Below are 23256 nucleotides of genomic sequence, written 5' to 3' on the forward strand. Positions count from 1 at the left end.
GCTTTAAAACCCTAGAAACTTTCTTTTCTCAACTAGGGCAAATTCTGAAAAATATACCTGCCTATTTTTGCCTTGGTCATATAAAAACATTGCTGATATCTGTCCATTCATGGCTCAGTCCTATCCAGGTTCCTCCCTGTAAACAACACATGCATGCAGTCATATTTTTAGGTGTCTTTTAACACCTAAACAGCCTTAATTTTAAACCAATGAATAATTTTCTCCCTACCCTAATTGATCTCTGCATACATATCATTTGACATTTGATTTCTTTTGCTTTTGAAATATTTGATTTCTGTACCAAAATACTCTCATGATTTTCCTGTAACATTTCTGGACAACTTTCTGGGCGTTCTTACCTCTATGGACCAACCAAAATTAGAAGAGAATTATGTTGCACGTTGCATGAGTTTGAAATCTTGTTCTTACACATACGATTTCTATGACCTTGGGCAAGTTACCCAACTTCTCTGTGACTAAGTTTCTTCATTTGCAAAATACCATCTGTTCCTCTTCATGGAGTTGGTGGGAAGATTATGAGTATTATTATGAGCAAAGCACTTGAGACATTTACTAGTAGATAGAAACTAACACAAAAATATTAGTTATCTGTGTTTTTATTTTATGCCCCTCTTTAAAAGGCATATTTCTTTCTGATTCTTTCCTTGGCCCTCTTCTCTATGAATTTCACATACCTGTGTAGTGATTTAATCTTGATTCATGGCTTTAACAATTATCTCCCTTCTACTCACATAACTCTTTAGAACCCAGACCACTATTTTCAACTATCCACTGGACAGCTCCACTCTGATGCTTTACAGATATTTCCAATTTAAGGTGTCTTCCCCATTCCAAGCCTGTGTGAATCATTCTGCGAATGGATAGGTACTAATGTCCCAATTCACAACGGTGAGACTTACCCTTGATGTCTTCCTTTCACTATGCTGTTTCTTCTACGTTCTTATCATCTCTATAATTTTTTCTGCCCTATCAGACAAAAATTACCTGAAATATTGTGATAACCTTCTAACTGGTCTTCCTGTGTCTCTTCTTCTGAAATTTATCCTGTAATGTGCAGCCAGAAACCTGTTTATTTTACCAACCTGTTTAAAATCTTTAAAATGTTCTCCTAGAGACCTAAGGATGATAAATAATTTTAAAGATGAAAAAAATCAACTAACCTTGATTTCATTATGTTCATCTGCTTTCAGAAGTTTATTCCTATAACCACCCAGATTCTAAGAGCTACTTCTCTGGACTTACAGAAATAATTTGGAGAAGTCTAGCTTATTCCTGAATCTAGTTCTCATAAGTAGACCCTGAATCTGAAATGTCATTCTCTCAACAATTGTATTAATTGTCTCCTATTTCATTTTCAGTTATTAATGTAGACATCACTATTCCACTAAGTATCTTTGTTTTTCGGGAAAGGAGTGTTCTACATCTGCTTATAAAAGTGCGTATCTCTGTATATATTGTAATTGCCTTATTATTTCCCTGTTTCTCCAATAAACACTGTTAAACTTGTAATTTTAGTGCCTCACACAGTGCCTAATAAAGAAAACATTTAATAAATATTCATTGAATGACTGATTAGTCAGTACTGATTTTTACTAGAAATAATCTGAAATTAATGTTATTAGAAAATAATCTTTATATAAATGTAATAAACTGTATAAAACAAGAAAAGCGTAGAAAAGAATTTTTTAAAAAACTCCTATAATGATACCACTTCGATGTGAATATAGTAAGATATTTTCTAAGGAAAAGTGGGTAAAATACAACAAAAATTAGTACTCTTGTAGATTAAGGATAAGATCTTACTTTTAGGAAAGAGATGATATTCCAACACAGTAATATTCCAATATATATAGTATACTAATATTGTAATATACTACAAAGACATAAACATAATACAAGAGTAAACTAGAGAGTTTACAACATAAACCATCGTGTCTACATAATATAAAATTCCTAAGTATATAGGCATTGTTGTTAAATACACACACACACTCAGAGACAAAACTATGTATCTCTAAACATGTATACAAAAGACACGATTTTTTAAAATTTCTAAAAAATACTTGCTGTGAACATCTAAAGCTAAAAAACATGACTTTAAATTCTCATAATTTGTATTTAATTATGAATTCTTCACACATGTTTAATTATTCTGTTAGTAAAGCAACACAAATTTTATATAAATTTATAATATATTGTAAAATTTTATTTTCTCAGAAGTTGACATAACTGAGCTGTAAGGATCTGGATGTATTGCTAAGCAGTTTTCTTAGTTCAATATTAATAAATATTTGCTGAATATTTTCAAAGATTACAGAAGTTTTTCAATTTCAATTTGGCAAGCTAGCAATTCAATTCTTACAAATAAGACATTTGCCCCAACACTATCCTTAAATTCAAATATGTTATTACTATATCTAACTGATGATACCAATCTCTTCAATCTTTATTACACATTTTGTTCATTCCCAAAGTGTTTGTGTACTTTGTTTATAGGCCACAAGCAGATGTTTCATTATAACTATGTCAGGAATGCAACATAATTTATATCTTCAATCAGCAGTAAAACAGGAGCACAATTTTTATTTGTATTTAAAAACTCAAAGTCTATATTCTCTCTTTTCTAGATTCCACATAAATTCATAATTTAATTGTTAATCATGTCAACAGTAGTAGCTAGATTGATTTATCTCCCTTTTGAAGACAAATTGCACAAATCTAACAGAGACTTTCATTTATTCTTTAACAAATACTGGCCTATTTATATGAGCTACATGAAGACTTTTTGAATCTCTAGAGACATCATTTTAAAATCTTGGTAAAAATTCACTTAATCTGACTTAACTTGTTAATTTGTAAAACTCAATAATAACGTATATGCTCATTCTGCTTGACAGAGTTAATTAAAACAATAAAAACGAGATAAATCAAAGATCTTTGGAAAACACCAAGTACTGTAAAACCTTGGGAAAATGATAAAAATGAAAGGACTGAAGGTCATTAACAAGTTTTTAATTAAAAGACTCTCTGTGGAACTTCTGTGTCAATCACAGTGTCTGGCATACTCAGTGTACCCAGTTGTGGGATTATCCAAGGAAATAGGCATATTAAATACAAGAATAAAAAAACAGCAAATTCCCTGGTCTAGTGTCAGATCTTCTATATTTTGACATCTAAGAAGGTCTGTGAGTTATCTAGATAATTGTATATTGATGTTCCTCCACTTACAGTGGTTTCACTTACACTTTTCAATTTCCTCATGGTGTGAAAGTAATACACATTCAGCAGAAAATATTCTTCCAATTTTGCATTATTTTCTTTTCCTGGGCTAGTAATATGCAGTTTCATATTCTCTCATAATGCTTGGGCAGGGGCAGTGAGACCACAGCTTCCAGTCAGCCACACAAACACCAGAGTGGACAAGCAATGCTGTACTGTATTGCAAGATTTTGCCCAACTGTAGGCTAAACATAAGTGTTCTGACATGTTTAAAGCAGGCTAAGCTAAGCCACGATGTTCGGTAGATTAGGTGCATAAAATGCATTTTTGACAATGATATTTTCAACTTAACAGTGGGTTTATTGGAACAAAACCCCGTCGTAAGTTAAGAGCCTCTGTGTATCAGTTACCCAAAATCCTTTACAAGCTGCTGGTGTTTATCAATGGAGTGAGCTATTTTAAAATATGACCTACCAAAAATTCCTACATGCTAGAGAAAAACTACAGAGAAAAATCATGATGAACAAATGGAAATACTGTATATTAATGAAAGAGAAATAACATGAGGAAGAAATAATAAATCTAGAGGACTAAAATGTCTTCAAGAATAAAGTAGAACTTGTTTAACAAAATGTGTGATATAAAAAGTGTAGATGCTCCTGATGATGAGGTATAATCAAATGCCTTTTTAGCCCAATATAATAGAAATAATATAGAAAAAAATGAAAATCTTTACCCATATGAAGCAAACCAACTCAAGGCATAATTTTGAACATTTGATAGAATTTGGAAAAAATTAAACCTATTTGATTATATATATTTTTAATATTGTCTTTTCAATATCACTAATTCAAGAAAATACGATTGCAAATAATACTAGGTAGGGCCAATAACCACTTGGTTTTTAATAAAAGTTAGCTACTTAAGTAAAATAGTATATTTTTTCTAATTGCAATTTGTTTTTAGATTCAGAAATAAAACAAAATATTTTAGAATAAGTATTATAATTTTGGCATAAGTATGCCGATTAAGAATATCAAATTCTAAATTTGAGAAAAACACTCAGAAACACAATAGTAAAATATGGGCCAACAAAGTGATAAATGAGAAGCAATATAATTATTTATAATTGAACTAAAATATTTTATGCAAAAGTAAATGAAATATTAAATTGTAAAAAAAAGTAAGTTTCAAATGAATAAAATACTAAGGACCTACACACACCTTGATATGTTGATATTTTTCAAAAGAATTAAAACAATATAAAAACCACAGATACTTTCAAATACTGCTAAATCATATAACGAATCTCATCAGTGTTTGATCACACATGCTGGAATACCATCAAGAAGTATGTATTTCAGTAGTAGCTTCATTACTTAGTAGCAAAGCATACTTTGATAAGCATCTCAGTACACTGAAATCTCATTTATATCTTCAATTAAAATAAGATATATTCCATGTTATTTTTGACTGAAAATTCTTCGCAACATAAAAAAACTGTGTAGCAATGACAATAGTTATAACATTGACAATAATCAGTGATTCAAATATTCCATTTTGTCTCTTAGAATGCTATCGCAGTATGCAGAACTATATGCTGTACCTTTGAATTGAATGAAGTAGATCAGGAAGTAACAAAATAGGTAAGACATATGGCAAAAGGGACTCGCTACCTCCACGTAATAATAACAACTACTTAACATCAACTTTCCCTGGGAAGTATAAAAGTGATAAAATGTCAAAGGCATTGACTGTTGATTAGGGGCCAAACACTTTATATGTATTATCTTATTCAATTCTCACAACGTTAGCAAATGGGTAACATTATGATCTCTAATTTGCAGCTGAGAAAATTGAGGCTAAGGGAAGATGAAGAATATGCCTGAGGTCATGCAGTATAAAGTAGAGAAACTGGTATTTTCTTGCTAACTCCAAAACTTGATCAGTCGACCACTGTACCCTGCAAGCAATGACTAATAATCAGCTAAATGCTAGCTGAATTTTCCCCAGTGATTCCATGACAAACTTTCTTGAGCACAGAAGAAAATAACCATGAAATCAATATTCTGCCAACATTTACTGTGACCATATTAGCAGTCCCTAAATTGACAATGGCCCGTGTTTATGCATGTATTCGTGCACTCACTCATTTATTCACTGACTTCCCTGGCACCACCAAAGTATAAGCTCCATAAAAGCACCCCTTATGTATTTGTGTGTTTGTGTCTTTAATTCCATGTAATTGGTTACATGACAGTGCCTGCCGTGGGCTAAACATTCAAGGAGTGGGCTAAATGACTAGATCTATAAACTATAAATATATTATCGCATTTTGTAATTATAATATTTTTAGATTGATATTTTCTTTTTGAAATGGGGTAATCGATGCAGAAAGGGTTTAGTGAGTTTTTTCCATATTGCACAACTAAGTGGCAAATGTAAGGATACAACCTATGTCATCATTATCTACAAATCATGTTTTTTCATTATGTTGTCATCAATCATCTCATTACGTAAGAAGTCTTACTGTCACCAGATGGTAACGCAATGTATGGCTAAACTTCAGTTACTATATAAAATATGTTATATGTCAAGGAAACTAGTTATTAAACAGGTTATTAAAACTAAAGATTTAAAAATATAATGCTATAAATATTAACTTAGGAAAATAATTAGGTTAGACAAATATCCTGTAAGGTATATATATATATTTTTTTGAGATGGAGTCTTGCTCTGCTGCCCAGGCTGGAGTGCAGTGGTGTGATCTTGGTTCACTGCAACTTCCACCTCTCGGGTTCAAGCAATTCTCTGCCTCAGCCTCCTGAGTAGCTGGGATTACAGGCATGTGCCACCATGCCCGGCTAATTTTTGAGTTTTTAGTAGAGATGGGGTTTCACCATCTTGGCCAGGCTGGTCTTGAACTCCTGACCTCGTGATCCACCTGCCTCAGCCTCCCAAAGTGCTAGGATTACAGACGTGAGCCACTGCACCTGGCCAGGTATAGTATTCTTTAAGGGCAAATAAAAATGGTTATTTTTATATAGTAACCAACTTTGGACCTGCTCTTTTGTTTTTTGAAAATTAACGTAATTCTAAAATACATGACTTTCTTTTAATTAGGATTTTTCTTCCTTAAAAACAATTCTTTGTTATTTTAAAATATATTGATATCTATTGGTAATTATAATTATGATATTCAACCTAGAGAAACAAAGTACAAGAAGACTATAGAACAGATTTAACCCAAATAAGAGTACGTGAAGATAATTTATAATCAAACTCCCAAAAGTCAAGGATAAAGAAAGGATCCTAAAATCACCAAGAGAAAAGAAACAAGCAACATACAAAGGAGCTCCAGTATGTCTAGCGGTTGACTTCAACACCCTGTGTTCACATTGAGTACACTATCCAGACAGAAAATCAACAAAGAAATACTGTACTTAATCCACACTATAGACAAAATGAATCTAATAGATATGTACAAAACGTTTCATCCAACAACTGCAGAATATACATTCTTCTTCTCGGTGCACACATTATTCTCAAGGACAAACCATACGTTATGCCACAAAACAAATCTTAAAACATTCCAAAAAACTGAAATAATATCAAGGTTCTTCACTGATCACAATGGAATAAAACTTAAAATAAATATCAAGATAAATTTTGGAAACTCTACAAACATATAGGAATTAAACAATACACTCCTGAGATTAAGGCTGTAAGTCTCTCAGCAAAGAAAAGCCCAAGACACAGTGACCTCACTATTGAAGCTGGAGAAACATTTAAAGAACTAATATCGATTCTACTCAAACTATTCCAAAAAAACAGAGGAGGAGGGAACACTTCTAAATTTATTCTACAAGGTTAGTACACGGCTAGTATTGCCTAATACAAAAAAAGAAAAAAAAAAAAAACAAATATCCCGGATGAATACTGATGAAAAAACATCAACAGAATGCTGGCAAATCAAATTCATCAATATGTTAAAAAGATCATTCATCATGACCCATTGGGATTTATCTCACGGATGTAAGCATGGTTCAACATATGCAAATGAATGTGATATATCATATCAACAGAATGAAGGATAAAATTTATATAGTCATTTCAGTTAATGCTGAAAAAGCATTTGATAAAATTCAAGATACTTTCTTGACAAAAACACTCAAAAAACTGGGTATAGAAGAAACATGCATCAACATAATAAAAAGCCACGTGCAACAGACTGACAGCTAGTATCATACTTAATGGAAAAAACTGGAAGCCCTGCCCTTAAAATCTGGAAAAAGACAAGGATGCCCACTTTCACCACTCTTATTCAACATAGTTCCAGAAGTTCTAGCAAGAGCAATCAGAAAAGAGAAAGAAATAAAGGGCATCCAAATTGGAAACCAATTCAGTTTCCAAAAATTTGTAATTTTTTTTTTTTTCTTTTTGAGACAGTGTCTTGCTCTATCACCCAGACTGGAGCATGATCTCAACTCGCTGTAACCTCCGCCTCCTAGGTTCAACTGATTCTCCTGCCTCAGCCTCCTGAGCAGCTGGGATTACAGGCACGCATCACCACACCCAGCTAATTTCTGAATTTTTAGTAGAGTCAGGGTTTTACCATGTTGGCCAGGCTGGTCTCGAACTCCTGACTTCAGGTGATCTGCCTGCCTCGGCCTCCAAAAGTGCTGGGATTACAGGTGTGAGTCACCGCGCCTGGCTGTTTATTTATTTATTTATTTATTTTTTATCGCTAAGTAGTACCCATGGTATGGATGTTAAAAAGTTTGCTTAGTCTGTTTAAGGGCATCTAAATTGTTTCTAGGTTTTAGCTATTATGAATAAAGCTGCTATGGACATTCACGTTCAGGTTTCCTGTGGGAACATTATTTATTACTCTGCCATAAATGCCGCAGAGTACAACTGCATGTTTAGTATTTTTTGAGAAACCACTTTTTTGTTGTTGTTTTCTAGAGTGGCTGTACCATTCCACATTCTCACCAACAAGGGACGAGTGATCTAGTTTTTCCGCAAGCTCAGCAGCATGTGACGTTGCCACTATATTTTATATTAGCATTCTGATACCTGTGCAGTGATATCTCATAGTTTTCATATGTATTTCTCTGACAGATAATGATGTCGAACATCTTTCCATGTGCTTTTTTGCCATCTGCATATCCTCTTTAGTAAAATGTCTCTTCATGTCTTGGACTCGCTAATTGGATTGTTTCTTTGTTAAGCTGCTGAGTTTTGAACATTCTTTACATATTCCATTTATTGGTCATTTTATCAAACATGTGGTTTGAGAAAATTTGAGTGTGGGCCAGCCTTGCTAGGTTGGTAAAGTTCTCCTGGATAATATCCTGAAGAGCATTTTCTAACTTGGTTCCATTCTCCCCATCACTTTCAGGTACAGCAATCAAACGTAGATTTGGTCTTTTCACATAGTCCCATATTTCTTGAAGGTTTTGTTTCTTTTCACTCTTTTTTCTCTAATCTTATCTTATCGCTTTATTTCATTAATTTGCTCTTCAATCACTGATATCCTTTCTTCTGCTTCATCGAATCTGCTATTGAAGCTTGTGTATGCTTCACAAAGTTCTCATACTGTGGTTTTCAGCTTCAAGAGGTCATTTAAGCTCTTCTCTACACTGGTTATTCTAGTTAGCCATTCATCTAAGCTTTTTTAAGGTTTTTAGCTTCCTTGCGATGGGTTAGAACATGCTCCGTTAGCTCAGAGAAGTTTGTTATTACCGACCTTCGGAAGCCTACTTCTGTCAACTTGTCAAACCCATTCTCCGTCCAGTTTTGTTCCATTGCTGGTGAGGAGTTGTGTTCCTTTGGAGGAGAAGAGGCATTCCGGTTTTTGGAATTTTCAGCCTTTCTGCTCTGGTTTCTCCCCATCTTTTTAGTTTTATCTATCTTTGGTTCTTAATGTTGGTGACCTACAGATGGGGTTTTGGTGTGGATGTCCTTTTTGTAGATGTTGATGCTGTTCCTTTCTGTTTGTTACTTTTCCTTCTAACAGACAGGCCCCTCAGCTGCAGGTCTGCTGGAGTTTTCTAGAGGTCAACTCCAGACCCTGCTTGCCTGGGTATCACCAGCAGAGGCTGCAGAACAGCAAATATTGCTGCCTGATCCTTCCTCTAGAAGCTTCATCTCAGAGGGGCACCTGCCTGTTTGAGGTGTCTGTCAGCCCCTACTGGGAGGTGTCTCCCAGTCAGGCTACACGTGGGTCTGGGACCCCCTTGAGGAGGCAGTCTGTCCATTATTGATGTTCGCACACCATACTGGGAGAAGCACTACTCTCCTCAGAGCTGTCAGGCAGGGACATTTAAGTCTGCAGAAGCCTTTTGTTCAGATATGCCCTGCCCCCGGAGGTGGAATCTAGAGAGGCAGTAGGCCTTGCTGAGCTGTAGGGGCTCTGCCCAGTTCGAGCTTTCCTGCTGCTCTGTTTACACTGTGAGCATAGAACTGCCTACTCAAGCCTCAGCAATGGTGGACGCCCCAACGCCAGCCAAGCTCCAGCATCCCAGGTGGATCTCAGACTGCTGCACTAGCAGCCAGCAAGGCTCCATGGGCGTGGGACCCAAAAGCCAGGCACAAGAGGGAATCTCCTGGTTTGCTGGTTACGAAGACTGTGGGAAAAGCGCAGTATGTAGGCAGAAGTGTACTGCTCCTCCAGGTACAGTCTGTCACAGCTTCCCTTGGGTAGGAAAGGGAAATCCCCAGACCCCTTGCACCCCCCAGATGAGGCGACACCCCATGCTGCTTTGGCTCACCCTCTGCGGGCTGCACCCACTCACCAACCAGTCCCAGTGAGGTGAACCAGTGCCTGAGATGAAAATGCAGAAATCACCCATCTTCTGTGTCTATCTCATTAGGAGCTGTAGACCGGAGCTGTTCCTATTTGGCCATCTTGGAAGCTACCCTACACGATTCCTTATACACAGAAACTTTTATCTACATATATATGCAAATATAGTATTATTGAGAGCATAAATCCAATAAAATATTTGGAGATAACTAATATATAGTACAATGTGGTAAGATGTGAGTTTTTAAAATGACTTTACAGATTTTTTTCAACAAATTTCTTACGTTGCTCAATATGTGGATGACAATTTTGTATATTATTTTCAAGGCCACTTTCATGGTAATAGTCTGGAGGAAAGAGAGAATGTAATAAAATATTCCTAATCTGGGGTCTAAATGCAAAATCATCCTTTGCCTTTCTACTTCCATAAAAACTAAAGACATTCTGAAAAAAGCAATGTGACTTTTGATGCAGACAGGTCCTATAATGACACTTTGAAATACATGAGACTTTTCATACCGTGCTATTTTTCTGTCATTCCTTATTCACTGGCAGTCATATACTCTGTGATTGTCCACAGCCTGGTAATAAGGGGAAAATACTGACTTTCAGACTGAGACTAGACTACTATAGTTATGGTCTAGAGATGACATCTTTCACATTCAGAAACTACGATATGGCACTATTTAATTTTGAATCAGTTGCAAGCAGCACTTTGGCATTTTGTTTTATGCCCGTAGGTAATAAGCCCAAGACAGGAGGTGAGAACAGAAGGGTATTTGCATCCAGATGGTATCTTTCTTTTCTTTTCTTCTTCTTTTTTTTTCCCCCAAGCAGCAGTTTACTTTTAACAATATAAATGGTCTGACACATTGGTGCTTTGACCCAACTTCATTATAACAACTGGCTAAGAAAAAGTAAGGAGCATTCAATCCTTTATTCAGTTTTATTCAGTTAACAGTTATGCACAGTGGTTTGTGGCAGCTGCTGGAGTAGATATTGAGGCCATATAAGCCTCCTTTACAAATGGCAGACTGCTTCTCCTCTTGCAACATTTCCTGTCGAAAAACATTCAGATTTATCTAACACTCTCATTTCATAAATCACATTTTTCCAACATTGCTCATGTTGACAGATTTATTTCCTCTTTAATTATTGGTTATTTTGAAAATGTGTATCCAGATTACATATCACTGTTTCCTCCTTTGCCTTTTATTTTCCTTTGTTTTTCAAATTGAGTGCAGAAGTAACATACTCCCACTCCTCATTTTATGCAATACTGTCAACACCCATCATTATTTCCCCTTTTACCTATAATCTCTAATTATTTTCCTCTCTACTCAATAGATACTCTAATTTATTTACTACATGGCTGTTCAAAATATATAGTGTAGTTTATTTTGTGTATAAAATGTGTTTATTTCTATGAAAATCCTATTTTTAACACTAGTTGTTGAGATCATTCAATAATGTTTTAAGCACAATTAACTTAGAGCTTTTAATGTTATGTAGATATTGTGAAAAATCTCTACCTTATTTTATTTCTATATTTACCTGTTGGTGGACCCCGATGGCTTCTCATTGCCTGCTATCAAAAATGATGCTGAACATTTTGCTACATCCCCTTCTGCTATTTTTTTCTGGTCCACATACATATAGGAATTATTAATAAATCATGGGAAATGTATATTCTTTGTCTCACTGAGTACTGCCTGATCTGCAAGACAGCACTGCCTGCTTTGATTCTTAGCAGCAATGCATTGAGGATTTTTATACATTGCCATTCTTCCATGGGATGTGATATATTTTTTTTCTTTCTAATCCATGCCAAACCTCTCTAGGTAAACTGCTATATCATTGCTTTTATTTACTATTTATCTGACCACTTGAGAGATGCTATGCGTTATCATATTGTCATTCACCACTTAAGTTTTCCTTATATAAATTCCCTTTTTGTACCATTTGCATCTAAAAGTATTAGATTTATTGTCATTTTCTCATTGGTTTGCATAAGTTCTTGGTATATTTTAGTTTATTATCATTTGCTCATTTTGATATTATACATGTTTTTCCACTTGTCAATCGTTTATAATCTTTGCCCATGGTGTTCTTCATTGAAGAATAACTTAAAATTCATATAGTCAAGTCTAACACATAAAATATATAGTTCTTCTGAAACTTATTTAAGAAGTTCCTCCCCACCCCAAATGTCACAAAATAATTCTTCTACATTCCTTCCATAGCTCTCATGTTTCATCTATCAGATTTGTTTTTATATCCATTTGATTTTCATCACTTTCTATGGTAAAATGTACATATATAATGTTGACATTTTAAGTAATAAGCAATTTTTTATCTCTATATTGTAAACAGCATGCCCTTTTCACTTTTGTCATATATGTTATTACAGTGATATATGCTTTAGATTACAGGGTACATCCCTTTTTGATTTTTTATTCAAGCTGGACTTACCTACTTACAGATTTTATACTTTATTATACATTTTAAAAATGCATTTATTGTCTCAAAAACATACATTTTCTTAGTTCCTTCTGTTCCACTTTTGTCCATTTCACTAATAGTTAATTACTTTAGTTAAATAATTTTTGTATTGTATTACAAAATATTTTCTGCATTTTGCTTTATTCATTGAACAATGCCTTCAGTCCCTCTAAACTCAGTCAACTAACAAAGGTTTGATGTATCATCTCATTTACATATTGGTTGATTTAATCTGCTAACATATTGTGTACAGTTTTGTTCATTGATTTCCATGATGCAAACTTTTAGTTAATTTTGTTTATTATAGTGTTTGTCTCAGGTTTTGGCAACTACTTGTAAAACAAATCTGGGATTGTTTCACAATTACTATTCTCTTGAAAAGTTTAAGGTTAATGTTAAGTCTTCTTAAACATTTGGAATAATTCACCATAAAATCTATTTGGGAAGGTTAGAAATAATGGATATACTTTAAAAATAGGAAATAGGTTTTTATCTTAAGGCTTAACAGGGATTGTTCCACTTATTTTGTCCATTTTGTTTTTCCAAAAATTTAGTCATTTTATTTAAATGTCAAATTTATTGGGATAAGGCTGTTAATAAAATCATATTATCACCTTTTCTCTGTATGATTATATTGATTTCCTTGTTTTGATACCTGATACTGCTGTTCTGTATTTTTCTCTATTATTTCTTCACCAATACTGAAAATATGTTATCAAATGCATTAATCTTTCCAAGAACCTATTTCTGTCTTTGTTATTTTTCTCTATTTCTGATTTTCTTTCTACATTTTTGAAATTTGATAAACTTTGTACTTTCATGCATCTTGAGTTGGAAACTTTGATCATTTTTATCATATTTTTATATCAATAAATGCCACTAGAGTCTTCGAAATCAATGATGAATAAATGAGTCTTTGTCTCTGTATTAGTCTGCTGTCATCTGGAGAACAGACTAATAACCAAAATACCAGAGACTGGATATTTCATAAAGAAAAACAGTTTAATGGACTCACATTTCTGCATTGCTGGGAAGCCTCAGGAAACTTACAATCAGAGCAGAAGGTGAAGCAGGAGCAAAGGCCCATCATACATGGTGGCAAGAAGGAGAGCATGTGTAAGCACAGGAAAAACTACCATTTATAAAACCATCCGATCTTGTAAGAATTCACTCCCTATCATGAGAACAGCATGGGGGAAACCACCTGGATTATCCAATCACTTCCAACCAGGTCTCTTTCTAAACACCTGTGGGTTACAATTCAAGAAAAAATTTGGTGGGGGGGACACAAAGTATAACCATATCATTCCACCCCTGGCCCCTCCTAGATCTTATATCCTCACATTTCAAAACCAATCATGCCTTCCCCAACGGTCCCCCCAAAATCTTAAATCATTTCAGCATTCACACAAACTCCATAGTCAAAAGTCCCATCTGAGACAAGACAAGTTTTCAAAACTAACCATGCCTTCCCAACAATTCCCTGAAGTGTTAACTCATTCCAGTATTAACTGAAGAGTTCACAGAGTAAAGACAAGGCAAGTCCCTTCTACTTATCAGCCTGTAATATCAAAGGCAAGTTAATTACTTCTTAGATACAATGAGGATAAAGGCACAAAACCTTTTTTCCCTCCTAGGCCTCTGGGCCTGTGATGGGAGGGGCTGTCATGAGGTCTGTAACATACCCTGGAGACATTTTCCCCAACGTCTTGGAAGTTAACATTTGGGCTCTTCATTACTTATGCAAATTTCCACAGAGGGCTTAAATTTTCCCCCAGAAAATGGGTTTTTCTTTTCTACTGCATTGTCAGGCTGCATATTTTCCAAACTTTAATGCTCTGCTTTCTCCTGAACACTTTGCCACTTAGAAATTTCTTACGCCAGATGCCCCAAATCATCTTTCTCATGTTCGAAGTTCCACAGATCTTCGGGACAGGGGCCAAATGCTGCTAGTCTCTTTGCTAAAGTATAGCAAAAGTCACCTTTGCTCCAGTTTCCAAGAAGTTTCTCATCATCACTTGAGACTACCTCAGCCTGGAATTCATTATCCATATCACTATTAGCATTTTGGTCAAAGCCATTTGACATGTCTCTAGGAAGTTCCAAACATCCCCACATCTTCCTGTCTTCTTCTGAGCCCTCCAAACTGTTCCAAACTCTTTGCCTGTTAGTTCCAAGGTCGCTTCCACATTTTGAGCTCTCTCTATAGCAGCACCCCACTCTCTGTAGTACCAATTTACTTTATCAGTCCATTCTCTTGCTGCCATGAAGAATACCCAAAACTAGGCATGTTATAAAGAATAAGGGTTTAATGGACTCACAGTTATGCATTTCTGGGGAGGCCTCAGGAAACTTATAATCATGGCAGAAGGCGAAAGAGGAGGAAAGGTACATCTTCCATGATGGTAGGTGGGAGAGCATGTGTAAGCACAGGAAAAACTACCATTTATAAAGCCATCAGTTCTCATGAGAATTCACTCCCTATCACGGGAATATCAAGGGGAAACCACCCCCATAAACCAGTCAGTTACCACCAGGTCTCTCCCTAAACACTTGGGGACTGCAATTCAAAATGAGATATGGGTCGAGACACACTAATCATGTCATTCCCTCTCCTTAGCATGCTTATTATTTTTTGGGAAAGAATGTCACTTAATAATGCTTGCCCACCAGAGCAAGAAAAGTCTGATCTCTAACTACAATGAATGGAATGATAAATCCCTGAAACTGATCTCACTTACAAATATAATAGGTGGTAGGGATGTTACTGGGAGTTTTATATCTATTTTAATTTATTCACAAAACAGAAAGGTAGAATTATATAATTGTCAAGGTATTTAAATTTTTGAAAAGGTAAGTAATTTTCCCAGTGTAACATTTTTTTTAAATGTGTACACTGGGTTTTGGACATGAGTGTGCTTCTAAATGGTTCTTTCAATTTAATTATGCAATATTTGCATTGATGACATATATTGTCTTCAAGAATATATGTGAGTGTATTTCAATAAAATGGCTTTTAATTGCATGTTATAATTCATATGTTCTAACTGCATTTCATTAATCTTGTCTGGGCATCATACAGCTGTTTTCTAAGAAAAGATATTTAGAAGAGATTCATATTAGCGGTAAGAGAAAAAAATGCAGCCAGATATTGGAAAATGGCATACATTATCCGTTAGATAGACTAAGGGTTTTACGGCATCAGCAATTAGATGAAATAAGTACATGAATTAATTAGTGAACTTATAATTAATCAGCTTAAGACCTTAGTCCTCCATACTAAAACTTCAACTTGACCATATGAGACATTTTATTTCTTTAGTACACTCTTGGAGGGACGTTGTACATTAAATAGAACAGTGCTCACAATGCCAAGCAGAGCTTTGCATTATAAGGCAGAGAGTTTTTTGAAAGAGCACTCCAGTAAACCAGTGAATAATAAGAGACATTGCATTCCTTATGATGGTAAAGTGAACAGATACATCCTAAGTCTGCAGATCCTGGTTTGTTTCTGTCTTCTGAGCACTGTGTTGGCTGCTACAAAATGCAGCACCATGTTTGTAATGTGATAAACTCAAGTGGCCAAAAAACATCTGGTATACAATTGCAGCAAAAAAAAGTTACATATACTTGTTGCAAGAGGGGAAATCAAACACCATAGAAAACTATGGGAAGTCAATATAAGAGTACATTACAATGGGCTTTTAACTAGGACTGTGCTGTCTTTCTGATAGGGGTTAAGGAAGCAGGTACATCTGTCCTGGATTGTCTGCTGTCAGAAAACAGAGGCAAATGTAAATGTGTGTGTGTGTGTGTGTGTGTGTGTGTGTGTATTACATTTACCTGAAACAATATTTTCTTATTAAATATAGTACAAATATGAAAATTGGGAAATTAACACCTATAGTGATATTATATAATGTACAAATCTTATTTGTATTTTATCAGTTGTTTCAAGAATGTCCTTTATAACAAAAGCAAACTCAAAATCAGATCCAGAATCCAATCCAATCCAATCTATGATCATACATTGCATTTAATTGCCATGTCTCTCCTTTGACTCTCAGTCTGGAACCTTTTTTGTCTTCATGACCTTAACATTTTAGAGAGTAAATATTAGCTATTTTGTAGAACAGTCCTCAATTTGAGCTTCTCTGATATATCCTCATAATAAAGGCTTTTTTTGGTCTTTATCAGGAATGCCAGGAATTCAGACTGTGCCCTTCCCAGTGCATCATAGCTAGAGGCACTCAATGGCAGTTTATCCCATTAATGAGGTTAACTTTTTCATTCGTAGAAGGCAGCATCTCCCAGGTTTCTCTACTGTAATATTATTTTATTCATTGTAATTTATAAGTATTTTATGGAAAAGTCGTTTGGGAATATGAAAATACCCTGTTTCTCAACAAACATTAACAAACATTATTAACATATTAATGATTGTTCTTTTAATTAAGTAATCAAGTATGTTACAAAAAGTAATGATTTTTCTAACACCATTTTTTCTTCTGCATTTACTTCTTGCTATTCTACTATAAATACAATTTTTTCCTCTCTTACTGCTTAAATTGCCCAATTAATTAAATATTAAGTAATTACATGATTATTTAGAATATAAAGGACTTAGCATATAATTAGGCAATCAACTAGTGAGAGAAAAATCAAATCACAAATTATTAAGTAATTAATTTCTATTTCTACAGGCTAATGACGTCTATTAAATGGGTTAAAATCCATTTACTGTTAATATTTATTCTGATGATGGAAATATCCCACATCTGGTTCCTGTGTCTTTTCAAGATGTACCAATTCACTCTTTAAAGATCTACTTACTTCTGATTCTTATTATGCTGGAGCTCTGTGGATGTAGTGGTAAGATGAAGGGGTAAGATGTAGGGGAGGATATGAGGTGACTAGTTTGACACAAAGGAGAAGAAAGGAGAGTTTTAAATAGGAAAGACTAAATTGGTATAGCAATACAAACTTCTCAGTTCTCTGTAAGTTAAAAGAATAATAGAGTACAGTACTCAAAGACAACTTTCATCACATGGCTATTAAATATAGGAAATTGTTGGCTTGGTCAGCCATCTTATATTCCTTCATGTAAACAGCCTGTAGTATATTGCTTTAGTTGATTCATTAATATTTTCATAAATATAACAACTATTGAATATCAGATACTATGCCAAGCACAACACGGTAATTTATTTATTTCAAGTTTCTGAAACAAATTGGTTATATGAAATTGACTAAACTCTAAATATGAAAAGTGTGTTGTAATCCAATCACAGTAACACAACTGGTAAACAGATTTGATACCTAAATCTTTATATTCTTACTCAAGTTCTCTTTTCAGCACTAGTGTTAAGTATTTTCTATTTATATTCATATATTTATATTGAAAGAATTAAATTTTAGTTTTTAATATTTATGTGGTTAATGAAAAGCATCTTGGAAGCTATTAAGCATACTAGTTACACAGCGAGACTTGATTTTTTTCTGTCTAATGAGTAAGCAGGATCTAGCTCAAAGGTTAGCATATATTATCCACTGAATAAGTATACATAAAATCACTACAATCATTAATAAAACTCATAGTTTTTGGTAAAAATTTAAATTGATTAATACAATGGCAGCTTGCATTTTTCTTACTGACTGTGTAATACAAATGCAATAAGGAAGCCCCACAGAATGTGGAATTTCACAGTGCATGTCTAAATATTTTTGCCACCTGCAGTCACGAATATATCATTCTATGGAGATTATAAATGAAACACACAAATGAATAAGTTAGCATTGAAAAAAGATGCATAATTTTTACCCTATAAAAGCCAATAAAATTATTTTTATTGTTCTTTTGTTTCATATATTTTAAATATTCACAAAATAGCAAAATTCCTCCCAGATGGTAAACACCTTCAGGAAATCTCTGGGTTTTATTAAATTTGGAATTTAAAGTAAACTCTGCCTTCAAAGAATCCAGATGTCCAAAAAAGCTTATAATTTGCCATAACATTCTTATGGGACAATTAGTGACTCAGTCTCCTGAATAAGATATCAGAAATAAGTATTATTAGAATCATTAAAAAATCTTTGTGTATGCAAGCCAGTTCAGTTAAATGACAACATTTTCTGGTATTAGAGTTCAGTTAAGTGATAACATTTTCCGGTATTAGCAATAACCTTTGCTGTAACAATGACTTTAAATCTGTTTCTTATGACTATATCCATTAAAATAAAACACTCTAAATTTCTAAATACCCACACTAATTTTATCCTAAATTTCGTATGTAAATATAAAAAAAAGTGTTTCTATATTTTTGGGGCATTCTAAGATGATCTCTGAATTGAACTTTCAGTCATCTTTCCCCAGGGGTAAAGAAAGAATTCCTCTGAGAGTCTACTCATTCTGACCCTGGCCCTATTAATTAATCAATCAAAAATCAATCAGTTAACCAGCCAGTCATTTACTCAGTTAGCTAGGAAGTCAGTAACCTGGAGGTTATGCACTGCCAACTATAAATTCATAATAGTGACAGGTTTAGGGTGACAAATAAAAATTAGGAAACGTTATCTTTACATTATTTGTTGTACACATGTATAAATAAGATGTACATATGGAGAAGAAAAAAGAGCTAAATTTATAGAATAATCTTTATATGCCTTGAGGGTTAAAGAAGATGGAGATCAATATAGGCTGGAATAAACTAGAGATCAATATGGGCTGACATAAACTGGAGAACTAGAGAAGAAAACAAAAGCTAAATTTATAGAGTAATCTTTATATGCCATGAAGATTCAAAGAAGATATAGATCAATATGGACTAGAATAAACTAGAGAAAATTAATGGAAATGGAGAAACTCTAAGGAATTGAAAGGATTTTAGGATATACAATAAGAAAGGAAATAAGATTACAATGACTAGGTTTTAGATCCTAAGGGTAGTACTCATGGAACTCTCTCACAGTAAGTAGGTCCAATATTAACATTGAGAATTATATGAAGACTAAATTTGCGAAACAGAAGTCTCTTAGTAACGACCTTGTGCTATAGGTTGAAGGTTTTATGGAGAATGTGTATACCCAACCAACAGTAACTATTATAAAGAAACATCAGAAAAATAATTCCATCATTCATTCTTTTGTTGAACAAATTCTGAGTATTTATTCTGTGCCAGATAATCTTCTATGTTCTCAAGACAGAGAAGTGAGCATGAGAGGATTTCTGTGGCTTCACAGAACTTACATTTTGGTGAGGTGAGAAAGAAATCTCAAGTAAATTATATAGTATATGGGCTGGTAAAAAGGGCCATGAATAACAGAAAGTGGACAAAGGGTAGGAAGTACAGGTGGGTTAAGTGCAATTTTAAGCAGATTTGTAGGAGCAGCCTCACTGAATAGATAGCATTTTGAACAAATAACTGAAGAGGGCAAGGGAGTGACTCCTGTAGAATTTTGGAGATATCTGGAGAAAACACAGTAAGGCAGATAAGAAATGCGAAGACTCAGATACAGCAGCCTGCTTGGAGTATCCGAGTAATAGCAAGGAAACCAGTGGGAAATGAGCCAAGAGAGTGAGGCACAAGGAGAAACAAATGAGACCCGTGAGGTGATGAGACGTGTTGTAGAGAAGCAGTAGCAGTTCACGAGGGACTTAGTAGTTAATTGTAAAGGTTTTTACTTTTATGCTAATGAAATAAAAAGCCACTGTAAGATTTTGAGCATAGATGTGACATTATGATATTATCTGACTTATAATAAAGACAGTAGTCACTGCTACTGACCCAAGTATTGATAATAACCTGCTTTAGATTGCAAAGAACAGAAGGAGAAGATCAGTCAAGAGGCTTTTGCAATAATCTAGAGGAAAGAAAATGAGGCTAGGAAAAGGATGGTAGCAACTGATTTAATAAGAAATCATATTCTAGAGGTTAGTACTTGCTGATTGAGTGCATGAGGTTAAGCAAGAAAGAGTGGGGTGGCTCCCAGATTTTGAGCCTTAGCAACTGGCAAAAGACCGTTGGCATTCACTAAATGGAAAAGATTTACTGGAACATCGATGCATAATTAACAGTTTCATTTTGGACATGTTAAATCTGAAATATGGATATGATCCCTAAGTGGTTGAGACCAACTTGGATATATAATTCTAAAATTCAAAAGAGAGATATGGGCTAGTGATAATCATTTGTGACTACTCACCATAAATGGCATTTTAAGGAATGAAATCCATGATATTCAGAGAAGACAATAAAAATAAGTGAGCTCTCAAGACTCCTCACCCAAGTCTCTACAAAATTATTAGGTTCAATCAGGTAGAACTAGTGATGGAAGACTAGAGGTAGAAATTAAACAAAGTATAGTACCCTAAAAAACAAAATCAAAAACAATTTTGAAGGAAAGAATGAAGAACTGAGGACTATATCTGGTGAATTTGCAGTCACTAAATGATTTGAAAAAATCAATTTTGGTGGAATGCTGGGGGCAAAAGATAGAACAAAAGGCATAAAGAAAGATTGAGATGAGAGGAATTGTAAACGGTAGGTTTACGGAAATCTTTCAAGACCTTTTCGTATGAATGATAGCAGAGAACTGGAATGAAAACTGGAGATAAGAAAGCTGATTCTAGATCTCTGAGAAATAGCCACACCTGGACTTAATATCTAGTTGATGGTTGATGGGTGCAGCAATCCACCATGGCACACGTTTACCTATGTAACAAACCTACACATCCTGCACATGTGCCCCGGAACTTAAAATAAAAATAAAAAAATACACAGATATATTAACGATTTTAAAAAAGAAAATTGATGACACATGAGAAGATGGAGACTTGCTAGTTTAAAGTTCTCAAGTAAGGTAAGAAACACAAAGCCTAGGTGCAATGGCTCACACCTATAATCCCGGCACTTTGGAAGGCCGAGGCAGGCCAATCACTTGAGTCCAGGAGTCAGAGATCAGCCTGGACAACATGGCAAAACACTGTCTCTACACAAGTATACAAAAATTAGCTGGGCGTGGTGGTGCCTGCCTGTAGTCCCAACTCTTCAGGAGGCTGAGATGGGAGGATAACCTGTGCCCAGGAGGTCACCAGTATGGGTGACAGAGAGACCCTGTCTCAAAAAGAAAGAAAAAAAGATGATTTGGTACATAGGTAGATAGTTTTTTAGGAACAAAAGGGAAAACACATATGAAAGTTGATTTATAAATATGGTAGTAAGAATTTGATGTAATTCTTAACTAATTGAATTTTTTTTTCCAGTGAAATAAGAATGGTCATCTTCTGTGAATGAGACTAAAAGAAGATGTTAGGTGAATAAAGAGAGAAAAGTATAAAAGAGTCATTTGGTTGAGAAGAATGTATTACACAGTTGAACACGAAAAGCCTATTTAGGACTGATGGCCATAAATACATAGGGAGGCCAGACCACATACTGCCATGTTTTCCTTCAGATAAGCTCATTGGCTTGGGAGTAGAGGTGCAGTAGTCAGATAATTGGTCTTTTTCTAATGGAGAACTTGGAAACGAGAGAAGGATAAGGCAATTGAGGGTGTATGAATGAACCATATAATTTAAGCCAGGAATGGATGTGGAAAAACATTATGGAGTCCTGAGGGCTGAAAATATAACTAAAGGGTACATCCTGATGAAGTCTAAGCATTGTTCAAATTTCAGAATGAGAGGGAGATAGCAGCAAAGTAGGAGATGGAAATCAATAAAGGGGATGATTGCAGTAGAGATTATGTAAGGTTTCAGGTTTTGGCAATGGGACAAGTTCTAGGTATGACTATGTGGATGAAGCACTGAGTTTGGTTTAAAGAGAAAGTCACTGCAGAAGAGCTGAGGGAATTGAGAGGCCAGAAAAGGGGGACAATCAGATAGATAGATAGACAGACAGACAGACAGACAGACAGACAGACAGATAGATATTTGGCATGGATTGTGATAAGAAGTGCAATGAAAAAAGTATGATATTTAATGCTGAAAGCTACAATTCACAATGGAGATATAACAGTTGTGCACTGAATAATACGGTAGCTGTTTTTAAAGCAAGAAACTATTGGAAATGCAAAGAGAAATAGGTAGAAACACATTAACAAGGAGATATTTTAACACACCACTCTGAGTATAAGAAAGGTCAAGTGGCCAAAAATATATGTGAGAATAAAGAAGGCCTAAATCCCATGATCAAGAACATAATTATTAGGAAGGTTGACTAACTACCTATTTATCTATTTAGATCTTTATAATATATTAGGTCACAAAGAAAGCATAAGTAGCATAAAGTCGAATAATTAAAATAAAACTCTCTGATTGCAATGTAATAATATTTAAAATTAATAACAGAATTTTTAAAAGACTTCAACATGGAAATTTTAAAAAAATCCTATTAAACAATACCTGGATTTATGGCTGAAACAGAACATATATATGAAAGTTACACAACTGTGGAAAATAACACCTCATACCCAAACATATGGGAAACATTTAAAGCACTGAGCAAAATAAAGTTTATAGCCTTCAGTATGTTTAGTACTTAAACAGAAACAATGAAAATGAATAAATTAAATTCCCAAATTAAAATCAGAAGCAGAACAATAAATAAACCAATGGAATCCAAAACAAAGGAAATAAGATAAAAGCAGAAATTATGAGATAGAAAACAGAAAATTGAAAGCTTAAATTATCATATCAAAATGCT

The 23256-nt window shown here is 34.4% G+C and overlaps 1 protein-coding gene across 4 annotated transcripts in view; it reads right to left on the minus strand.

Annotated features, from left to right (window-relative positions):
* SGCZ (sarcoglycan zeta) overlaps positions 1-23256 on the minus strand; it is a 1153587-nt gene that overhangs the window by 267825 nt on the left and 862506 nt on the right. The gene's annotated exons all lie outside the window — the stretch shown is intronic.

Source organism: Homo sapiens, chromosome 8, assembly GCF_000001405.40.
Source record: "Homo sapiens chromosome 8, GRCh38.p14 Primary Assembly".
NCBI lineage: Eukaryota > Metazoa > Chordata > Mammalia > Primates > Hominidae > Homo > Homo sapiens.